Genomic DNA, 12,016 nt, shown 5'->3' on the forward strand with positions numbered 1-12,016 from the left:
CATTTTTGCTGGGGTCTGGATTTTCTGAATATTAGAGTTTATGCATGAGAAGGAGGAAAGAATTTAGGCCCATGAGCCAAGAGGGATGTATCTTTTGGTTTTTAGAACATCACAGCCTTATTGCAAGTCTGTTGTGGGCATAGGGGGAGTCCTTTGAGCATCTGTAGCTTTGGTGTGTTCCTTCATTCATCTAGTAGATACTGCCTAGCACTGTAGATCCCATAGATTCAGAGGGGGAAAGCCAGATGTATTAGTCAGCTTGGGCTGCTATAACTAAAGCCACAGGCTGGGTGGTTTAAACAACAGACATTTATTTTCTCACCGTTGTCAAGGCTGGAAGTTTGAGATCAGGGAGCCGGCCTGGTCAGGTTCCTGGTGAGGGCCGTCTCCCAGGTTCCATCGTCTCAACTGTGTCCTCATACAACAAAGAGAACGAGTCCTCTGGCTAACCTTCTTATAAGGACACTTACCCTATCAGATCAAGGCCTCACCTGTATTAACTTAATTACTTTCTTAGAGGCCACATATGATCATGTTGGGAGTTATAGCATCAACATATGAATTTGGGGGGAGAAAGGACACAATTCAGGCCATAGCACCAGAGAAGGTCCCTGCATCATCCATTCTAGAGGGCATGACAAACCACGAACAAGTACACAAATAAATAATCAAGGCAAATATGGATTGTGATCAATTCCATGAAAGAAAAGAAGAGGATGGGGTAGAGAATAATGGAGGGGGGGCGTTGTTTTATGGAGATGGGGTCAGGAAGGATCTTGCAGAGGATATTTAAGATGAGACCAGAGGATGGACAAGAGCCAACTATGGGAAAACATTCCAGGCAGAGGGAATTTTTTCAATGCAGAGCCTTTATTCAAGAAAGATAATGGTGTGTTCTGAGAACTTTCGGAAAGACTAGCATGGCTACTGAGTGGTGATTCAGAAGGCAACCCTCTTGTACAAACAGTTACAAATGTTTGACAAAATACAGTAGGCATTGTTTTAAATGCATAGATGAGCTTTCCAGAAAAAAAGTTATTCTAGGAACCAGAAACAAAAGAGGAAGTGAAAAGCCATCTTAACACACAGGGATTAGAATTTTTAATGCCTGGAAAGGTACAGAGATTGATGTCTTAGACTCAAGAGCAATGAGTGTATCCACATGAAGCCAGGACTCTGGGAGGGCTAATATTAACCACGCCATGAAAGGTAGATGGAGGAAAACCACCTACCTGCCCAGGAAGACAACAAGAGCGCTTGAGTTCCTTGATGTAGATTCTGTTAAAACAAAATTATTGTCTGAAAATTCATACCAAGAACTTGATCTCACATAAGCTCAAATTTATATTACCCACACTACCCCAGAAGCCCCAACTTGAAAAGGAGCTCAAACACTGTTACCAAACAGTGATATCCATGGGGAATCTATAAGAAGCCAACACAAAACGGCCAGAGAGACATGCACCTTCAACCCAGGTCACACAAAATTCCCATAGAAAAAGCTCTGCTGAAAATGAGCTTTCAATCTCAAACTACAAATGTACAAGGAAAAACTTCACCATGTGCAAGAGTCAGAAATTACAGCAAACTGAGGGACTAGACGCTCCCTTCAAAAACTCCCAATAAAAGAACTATCTGAAAGATAGTATTTTCAGAATAATCATAATCATAAGCTAGACCATCAAAAAACAGAATATAACAGATACTCTAAGGAGGAAAGTAGGGCAGATTTTTTAAATAATCAAATTTCTAGATTAAAAGTCATAATTAAAATTGTCTGATGGCTTGAACAGCAGATTAATCAGATATGAAAAAACAATCAGCTGGAAGATAGATATGAGGAAATTACTCAGAATGTATTGCACAGAGTTAAAAGGCAAAAATCATGAGAGATCAGTTAAACAGAACAGAATATTAATTGGAAAAGTCCAATTTATTTATTTATTTTGAGAGAGGGTCTTGCTCTGTCACCAGAGCTGGAGTGCAGCAGCGTGATCTCGTCTCACTGCAACCTCCGACTACCGGGTTCAAACAATTCTTGTGCCTCAACCTCCAGAGTAGCAGGGACTACAGGCACATGCCACGATGCCCAGCTAATCTTTGTATTTTTAGTAGAGACAGTTTCACCATGTTGGCTAGGCTGATCTTGAACTCATAGCCTTAAGTGATCCACCCACCTCGGCCTTCCAAAGTGCTAGGACTATAGGTGTGAGTCGCCATTCCCGGCCCAGTTTACTTTTAATAGGAGTTCCAGAACTACAGAATAGAGAGGATTGGGAAGAGTTGTTATGGCTGGGAATTTTCAGAATTTAGATGACGGACATGCATAGTAGATTGAATCATGGCCACCCAAAGACAGCAAGTTCTAATCCCTAGGACAGTTAAATGTTGCCTGATAGGAAAAAGGACCTTCACAGATGTGAAAAAGTTAATGATCTTGAGATGGAATTCATATCCTGGATTACCCAGGCAGGCCCTGAATACAATCAGAACTGTCCTTATGAGAGGGAAGTAGGGGAGATTTCATACAGACACACACAGAAGAGAAGGGCAATGTGAAAGAGAACCCTGGAGAGATTTGAAGATGCTGGCCTTGGAGATGAGAGTGGTGTGGCCAATAACCAAAAGATGCCAGCGGCCACCAGAACCCGAAAGAGGCCAGGCATGGATTCTCCTCCAGAGCCTCCGGAGGGAGCACATGGCCCTGCCAACATCTTGATATTAACCCCAGGACACTGATTGTGGACTTCTGGCCTCCAGAACTGGAAGAGAATAAATTTCTGTTGTTTAAGCCGCCAAGTTTCTGGTGATTTGTTTCAGCATCCCTAGGAAACGAACACAACATATATGGATAGATTGAGAATGAACATCAAGTTACAGGAAAGATAAATTAAAATAAATCTACAACTAGGCACACTCCAGTGAAACGGGAGAATGCCAAATACAGAAGAATGACCTTGAAAGCAACCGGAAAAGGTACAGAGGGCAATGACCAGAATGACAGTATGTTTTTCAAAACTTTAATGTAGCCCAGAAGACAATGGATAATATCTTTAAATTGCTTACAGAAACAAATTATCATTCAAGAGTGAGGATAAAATGAAGTCATTTTCAGGCAGGCAAGGCCGAATTTCTTTTTGAGACCGAGTCTCGCTCTGTCACCCAGGCTGGAGTGCAGTGGCGTGATCACAGCTCAGTGTAACCTCCGTCTCCCTAGTTCAAGCAGTTCCCCTGCCTCAACCTCCCGAGTAGCTGTAATTACAGGCATGCACCATCACACCCAGCTAATTTTTGTATTTTTTAATAGAGATGGGGTTTTGCCATGTTGGCCAGGCTGGTCTTGAACTCCTTACCTCAAATGATCTGCCTGCCTGCCTTGGCCTCCCAAAGTGCTGGGATTACAGGCGTGAGCCACCGCGCTCCCCTGGCAAGACTAAATTTCCCATTAATAGAAGCTTGCTGAAAGAGCTGCTTCTAAAAGTTACATGCACTTCAGAAAGAAGGACTAAAACCCAGAAAGACACAGTGAGGTACAGGAAGAAATATTAAGTAATGAAATGAAAAAAACATGTGATTCAACAGAAAATCAAGCATCAAATGTGAGCTGGAACCATAAAAAAGGTGAAATGAAAATACCAGACAGTAATAACACGTAACATAAAAAGAAAGTCTATGAGTTAAAAAGTTCTGGTCTTTGTATTCAGAAGCAGAGGTACTGATTAATTTTAAATTGTATAAAGTAAAATAGACACAATTAGAGAAATTTGAAATGACAGACTGTCATTCTGGTCATTGCCCCCTGTACTTCTTCTGGTTGCTTTCAAGGTTGTTTTTCTGTATTCGGCATTCTCCCGTTTCACTGGAGTGTGCCTAATTGTAGATTTATTTTTATTTCTCTTTCCTGTAACTTGATGTTCATTCTCAGGGGGTCATAGGAAAGAGGAGGAAAGTGTACAAAGAAAAGACGTGACAAACAGCAAGTGCAAATTAAGATGGGCAAAATAAACCTCAATGCATCAGGGCATAAATCTAAGTATATCAAGTATCATAAAAATGTAAACAAATGAATCCCACTGTTTAAAACACAGAAGCTCTAATGAGTAAACAAGATCTATATGCTCTATGCTTTTATAAGAACAACCAAAATAAAAGTACTCACATATAGAAGAATTAGGAGAAAAAACCCCAAACTTTCACTACTTACAAAGTTATCTGCATAGAAAACTCAAAGAATTGACATACAAACTGATAAAACTGAGAACTCAGCAGTTTTGCTGAGAACAAGCTCAAGTATACAAAAATCAATTGTATACATTAGCTAAAAAAATTAGCAAGTAGTTCTAAAAAGATACTATATGCACTAGCAATAAAAACTTAAAGGTGTCTAGGAATAAACTTTTATGGAGAAATGTATGAAACTTTATTAAAATACATAAAAGAAGAGGAAAAAATCTAGAGAAAGGAAGGGCTGGGTGATAGCTCCTGTTCATTAGTGAAAAGAATCAATATTATAAAATGAAAATCCCCCTAAACCAGTCTATAAAGTTAATATAATTTTTATCAAGAATAGAATTATAATAAAATAATTTTTCATGGAAGTTATATATGCAAAAGCAAAGACACAAAATAATTTTTAAAAAGAACAATATGGGGAGGGGATTTTCTGCCTGGATATCAAGATATCATAAAATTGTAGTCATGAAGACACTGTGATATGGACTCAGAAATAAATCAACTGACTGAAATAGGATGCTCAGATTTAATCCTATATATAATACATAAATATATAAAATGTATAAATATATAAAATATAAAAACACATATATAAATATATATAATAAGTTATTTGTATTTATATATTACATAGGATTAAATCTGAGCATTCTACTTTGGGTCATTGATCCATTTGTTTATATATAATATATTACATATATATGAACTTAATCTATGATAGTAGATTAGATACCTACTAGATAGAGATTAGATATCTATTAGATAGAGGTGACATCATAAATTAGTGAGAAAAAGATGGACTGACAATAAGTAGTACTGGGGTTGCCATTTTTCCATACGGAAAATAATTAAATTAGACCTTTACCTCAATACAGAAAGAGAGAAACCTTTAAAATGCATTTGGCCAGGCACTGTGGCTCACGCCTGTAATCCCAGCACTTTGAGAGGCTGAGGCGGGCGGATCACGAGGTCAGGAGATCGAGACCATCCTGGCTAACACAGTGAAACCCCCTCTCTACTAAAAATACAAAAAATTAGCCGGGCGTGGTGGCGGGTGCCTGTAGTCCCAGTTACTCGGGAGGCTGAGGCAGGAGAATGGCGTGAAACCGGAGGCGGAGCTTGCAGTGAGCCGAGATCGCGCCACTGCACTCCAGCCTGGGCAACAGTGTGAAACTCCGTCTCAAAAGAAAAAAAAAAAAAAAAAAAAAAAAAACGCATTTAAGAGAAAATATAGGAAGACTACCTTTATGACCTCTTGGTAGAGAATTGCTTTTGGAAACACAAATGACAAAGAAAATATGGTAATCTGAAGACATTAAAATTAAAATCATCTAGAAAACAAAAGCTACTGCAAACAAAGTAAAATGCAAATCACAGAGTGAGACTAGATACATTTTAAAAATTAGCATCTGGAATATACAAAAGTTATATCCACAATTCAGTGAGAACATGACTCAATAAAATGGAAGGTAAAGGGTATACATTGAAAGGTCACAAAAGACAAAATACGAATGGCTTCTAAGCATATAAAAAATGTTTGACCTCATTAGTAATCAGGGAAGTGCAAAGTAAAACAAGGAGATCTTTTCATTCCGATCATGCCTGGCAGGAACCTTCTCCCCAGATGCTACAGGCAGGAAGCCAAGGTGGAGAAATGTCCAAGGCCCATAACATGCTTTGCACTAGATGGGCAAAAATTAAAAATGACAACATCAAGAGTTGGTGAGGATGTAGAGACATAGGAATTCTTACACCCTGTCCATGGAAGAGCATGGTTTAATTTACAGCGGAATTTGGCAATATTTAGTAACACTAGAGATGTTCATGTTCTAGTTTTCAGCATTTCCATTTCTAAGAATATACGGAAAAGACTCCCACGAGTTCCCAAAGTAACTGGTAAAGCCAAAGAGTATTTACTGCAGCACTATTTGTCATAGGAAAAAAAAAAAAAAAAAAACCTTTTATAGTGGTGGGGGAGAGGAAGGAGCCAAGAATCCACTAACCAAAAAATAAATGAGTAACTTGTAGTGTACTCACATAATGTCATACAACAGTTAAAATGATTGAACCAGGACCACATGCATCAACATGGATGAAACTGTAGAAACATAATGCTTAGCAAAAAATAAGTTTCAGAATGATTTATTCAGCATGATGCCAATGTAGTAAGTTTGAAGAAATGTAAAACAATCTTGCATGCACATACCGTGTGTGTGTGTGTGTATGTGTGTGTGTGTTATACGTATGTAGCAAAAATAGAAAACCATACATAGGGATGATAAACATCAATCCCTCTGGGAGAGTTGGAGGAGAATAAGATCAAGAAGGAACACAGAGGCCAGGAGCAGTGGCTCACTCCTGTAATCCCAGCATTTTGGGAGGCCGAGGATGATGGATCACCTGAGGTCAGGAGTTCGAGACCAGCCTAACCAATATGGTGAAACCCCGTCTCTACTAAAAAATACAAAAGTTAGCCAGGTATGGTGGTGCACACCTGTAGCCCCAGCTACTTGGGAGGCTGAGACAAGAGAATTGCTTGAACCCAGGAGGTAGAAGTTGTAGTGAGCCAAGATCACACCACTGCACTCCAGCCTGGGCGATACAGTGAGACTGCATCTCAAAATAAATAAATACGTACGTACATACATACAAAAAAGGAACACAGAGGGAGCTTCAATTGTATCTACAAAACTTTAATCCTATTAAGCAAGTAAGTAAAGCAATTAGACATCGTGTTGAAATGTAGCAAGGTCGATGATGGATCTAGTGTCAGCTACATTATTCTCATTATTTTCCTTGTCTGCCTGAAATATTTCATTATAAAATATTTTTTTAATTAGTAAAAGTAAATACAATCCAGAGGCTGTAGTATTAATCCGGACAATATGTAGATTAGGCTCACTAGGATTAGGGAAGAGGTTGAAGATGGAGAAGTAGACAGAACCATTATATATTTTGGAGGTAAAATTGAGGGTTTGGGTAAATTTGCTGTCTCAGATGTAACAGGTATGATAGATGGGGCCACTGTCCTGTCCCTATTCTGTGGACCTTTTTGGGTGCTCCAGCTGATTTCCAACAAACAGTGTCTCATGACTGGGCTGAGGGTTCTTCCCCAGTCCTCGACCCCCACCCACTGAAGTCTGTGCTGCCCCCAGGTGGTAGACCAGACCTGCTAAGGAATGCAGCCATCAACCAGTGGCCGTTAAGAATGAGTATGTGAATACCCCAGCTCCCTCGCCTCTGGACTGGGATCATGCAGAGGCTTGTGCTGTGTTGTGCAGTTTCCTATGGCATTCAGCAACCCATGGCAGCAGGTGTAGTAGTAAGTAGGACATTTTGCCTTCCCTTCCCTTCCCTGACTCCCTTCCCTACTTCCCTACCAGTATTAGCCCCGCTTCCCCCAAAGAACCCCTTGTGCTTGTGTTGTTGTCTTGGATCAGCTTCTGGAAAAAATGTACTTGAAAGCAGAAGGCGTGCTTCCCAAGCATGGCCACCCAGCACCTCCATGATGTCACTTTCAGTCTGGCAAAGGGATGAGAAAAAAGACAAACTCCAGGGGCTGTAGTCAGGTGAATGGGGAGACACCACATGCAGGAGATGGAAAATGCAGCTGAGGGGCGGAGGCAAAAATGGGCTGCTGAAGAGTTTGCAGAAAAAAGGCACTGCTCTCCTGCTTCATGAACTTAAGTGAAATTCCGAGGAGCAATGGGCAGCTGCAATTTTTTTGGCTCTGGGGCTGTAGTAGCATTTGCAGCAGTGCCTCATTCAGGGATTCCCTGGACAGAATTAGGAGCTAAGCACCCCCTGATTATGTGTCACCTTACATCTAACTCTAGGGGACCATCATTTATATGCATTCACATTCTAGACATGTCTACAGAACAGGACTTGGCACTGATGGATTGTTTGGGTATAAAATATTACGGAATGTCACTAGAGAGTGACTTCTTGATACAGAATCAAGTAACAGTTGGGTTTCTGCAAAGTGACATTTCAGCAGTAAATTAGAGAACATTTGCCTTGATAGTAATATAAAAAATGAGTTGGTGGCTGGATGCAGTGGCTCATGCCTATAATTCTAGCACTTTGATAGGCCAAGGCAGGCAGATCACCTGAGGTCAGGCGTTCAAGACAAGCCTGGTCAACATGGTGAAAGCCCATCTCTAATAAAACTACAAAAATTAGCCGGGCATGGTGGTGGGCACCTGTAATCCCAGCTACTCAGGAGCCTAAGGCAGGAGAATTGCTTGAACCCAGGAGACAGAGGTTGCAGTGAGCTGAGATCACGCCACTGCACTCCAGCCTGGGTGACAGAACAAGACTCTGTCTCAAAGAAAAAAAAATAATTGCTTAAAATTTTAATTTTATTATATATAAGCAAAAAGGGAAAAAAAACCCAGCTGCATGTGGTGGTGGCCCATGCTTGTAATTCCAGCACTTTAGGAGGCTGAGGCAGGAAGATCACTTGAGATCAGGAGTTTAAGACCAGCCTGGGCAACATAACGAAACCCTATTCTGCCTATATATGTGTGTGAGCGTGTATATGTGTATGTGTGTATACATATGTATATATGTGTATATATATGTGTGTATGTATATATATGTACACACACACACACACACACACACACACACGTTAACCAGGTGTAGTGGCATGTGCCTGTGGTCCCAGCTACTCAGGAGGCTGAGGTGGGAGAATAGCTCGAACCTGGGAGGGAGAGGTTGCAGTGACCCAAGATTGCACCTGGGCAACAGAGCCAGACTCTGTCTCAAAATAAAAAAAAAAAAAGGAAAAAACAAAGAAAAACAATAATCCTAGGTACTTTCTGCATGTTATTATTCCATTGATGAAATCACACTTCACCATTAAGAAGGGCAATTTTTAAAACGCTAAATCCATTGCACCAGGCTACTGAGTGAACCCAATTGTTATCGAGAGCAAAAGTGTTACAGTGAGGTTCTTCGCCATTTCTCTGGCGGCTGATTTGGAAGGAAAGATACTTAATTTGACTTCACCTTCACAGAAAGGTGAACTAAGAAGCCTATAAGGAAACCAATTTCAGCTGCTCAGTCTACAATGTATTTGTCCAGTGCCATGGAGTCAATGAAACACATCAGCTCAAATGACAATCACTGAAGTGAGACTGGGATATTGGCCCCTCCTGGCTGGTTGGAGTCAAACCAGAGAAACAGGTGGCTACTGTACGCACAGGCTGTACAAGGAGACCCTAGGAAAGAACAGCCTTGGTCTTTGGGGCCATCAGAAAAAGACTGTCATCTGAAATTAAACCACAAGAAACCTACATCGGGCCGGGTGTGGTGGCTCACCCCTGTTATCCCAGGACTTTGGGAGGCCAAAGCAGGCAGATTCCGAGGTCAGGAGATCAAGACCATCCTGGCTAACATGGTGAAACCCCATCCCTACTAAAAATAGAAAAAATTAGCCGGGCGTGGTGGCAGGCGCCTGTAGTCCCAGCTACTCGGTAGGCCGAGGCAGGAGAATGGCGTGAACCCGGGAAGCAGAGCATGCAGTGAGCAGAAATCACACCACTGCACTCCAGGCTGGGCGACAGAGTGAGACTGCCTCAAAAAAAAAAAAAAAAAAAAAAAAAAAAAAAAAAAAAAAAAAAAAAAAAAACCTACATCGAAAGATTTGCCATCTCTAGACATGTCCCCTCCCAGGAGATGATCCATACAGAGTTACCAGTGGAACCACGGCATATCCTGTGGGTCCAATGGAGGCAAGAATTTCTAAGAATAAGAACCTTAGATCTTACTAAAGGTAGTGTTGATGAGATATTAGGAGCTCAAATTCAGGAAGATCTGAGTTCAGATTTTTAACTCCACAAGTTCCTAACTATATGACCCTGGCAGGCTATCTAACCTCTCTGAGTGTCCATTTCCTCCCCAGGAAAGTCTCAAGCCATGCCGGCTTGCTGTGATCAGTAAAGGAGATAATATGCATAAAGTAGTTTGCACTGTGCCTGGCACATAGGAAGCACTCAGGAAACAGTGGCCACTACTTTTATTATTACTGTCAGCATGTAACCAATGGAAATAACATTCTACCTCTATGTTGTAAGTTTTCGGGTGGGAAGTGATTTTGTTCTTGGTGCAAGGAAAAGAATATTGAAAATTAGGAACCAGTCAGAATTTATCACCATCAGGCAAGGAAAATGAGTTTGCCTCTAGATAGCAAGGCTTGTTTTATAGACAATCTGATTTTCCTAGTCAGAGGCAAGGCATTTTTCAGGAGATCCAATGCTTGTCTTCTAACTGTATACTCCCAAAGCAACTTTTTGTCTATGATCTGATCTCTCAAGTAGGGCAGGCCAAAGGACTCTCCCTAGCTCTGAAGCCAGACCCTTCTCCCACTCAAAGTCATGAAATTCGCCTACAGAGAATCCCTCAGAGTCTTGTGAGTTTGGTTACCATGAGTCAGTCACCAGTACACTTGTGTGTGTGCAAATGAAAATAAGGCTTCTGCATCTGCAGAAATGATGGCTGGATGGGGGTTTGTGGGGACCACCTCGGCACCCAGAAACTGTCCCCCTGTGAACTCTTGTCTGAAAACTTCTAGCCTGCCATTCGGATACAACTGTCAACGAGTGTTCAATAAGCACATGGAAAAATACAAGGATGCTATATATTTTTATTCCTATGTGAGCCGTATTGAGCATTTTCAATAGAAAAAGTTTATCTCTTGGTAGCACCCCATCTTTACAAAGGAACTTCTATGCCAGCATAAACCAGGCACTGTAATAAATATACCTTATACATAGTCTTTGCAGTGACGCTGTGAGGACACTGTTCCTGCTGTCATTTTAAAAGTAAGTAAACTGAAGCCCAGAGAAATTCAGTGACTTTCCCAAAGTCATAAAGCGCAAAAGAAAGAAAGGCCGGGTCTGACCCCTATTCTGTCTGACGTCCGTGATCTTTCCACCCTGCCCGGCCATCCCCATCTATCTCATTGCCTGGGAAGCCACCATCCCTCCCAGCCCATTCCCTTGTCACAGAACATGAGTGCCCAAAGCCTGTGCTCTGTCCAAGCCACTCCATGAAGCACTCGCCTCTTCCCTGGACTTACCAGAGTGTTAGGCCAGTTCCCTCTGTGTGGGGAAGTGTCCGGAATTTGTGGGTTCTTGGTCTCACTGACTTCAAGAACGAAGCCGTGGACCCTCGCGATTTGAGTGTTACAGTTCTTAAAGGTAGTGTGTCCGGAGTTTGTTCCTTCTGATTTTCGGATGTGTTCAGAGTTCCTTCCTTCTGGTGGGTTTGTGATCTCGCTGGCTTCATTCAAGAGTGAAGCCGCAGACCTCCGCGGTGAGCGTTAGGACTCTTAAGGCGGTGCGTCTGGTGTTGTTTGTCCCTCCCATCCGGAGTTGTTCATTCCTCCCGGTGGGTTCGGGGTCTCGCTGGTCTCGGAAGTGAAGCCAGACACCTTTGCGGCGAGTATTACAGCTCGCACAGACAGTGAGACCCCAAAGAGCGAGCAACAATGGGATTTATTGCAAAGAGCGAAAGAACAAAACTTCCACAAGGTGGAAGGGAACATTAGGGGATTGCCACTCCCGGCTCCGGCAGCCTGCTTTTATTCCCTTATCTGGACCCACCCACATCCTGCTGATTGGTCCATTTTACAGAGAGCTGATTGGTCTGTTTTACAGAGAGTTGATTGGTCCGTTTTGACAGGGTGCTGATTGGTGCATTTGCAATCCCTGAGCTAGACACAAAAGTTCTCCAAGTCCCCACTAGAGAGGCTAGACACAGAGCGCTGATTGGT

The 12,016-nt window shown here is 41.8% G+C and overlaps 1 protein-coding gene and 1 long non-coding RNA gene across 7 annotated transcripts in view; one reads left to right on the forward strand and one right to left on the reverse strand.

Annotated features, from left to right (window-relative positions):
* KAZN-AS1 (KAZN antisense RNA 1) overlaps nt 1–11,800 on the reverse strand; it is a 71,019-nt gene extending 59,219 nt beyond the window's left edge. Inside the window, exon 1 of the long non-coding RNA NR_149058.1 lies at nt 11,321–11,800. This is a non-coding gene — a long non-coding RNA (KAZN antisense RNA 1). The remainder of the gene's footprint in view (nt 1–11,320) is intronic.
* The window catches only part of KAZN (kazrin, periplakin interacting protein), a 1,225,220-nt gene that overhangs the window by 515,350 nt on the left and 697,854 nt on the right, over nt 1–12,016 (forward strand). The gene's annotated exons all lie outside the window — the stretch shown is intronic.

Source organism: Homo sapiens, chromosome 1 (assembly GCF_000001405.40).
Source record: "Homo sapiens chromosome 1, GRCh38.p14 Primary Assembly".
NCBI lineage: Eukaryota > Metazoa > Chordata > Mammalia > Primates > Hominidae > Homo > Homo sapiens.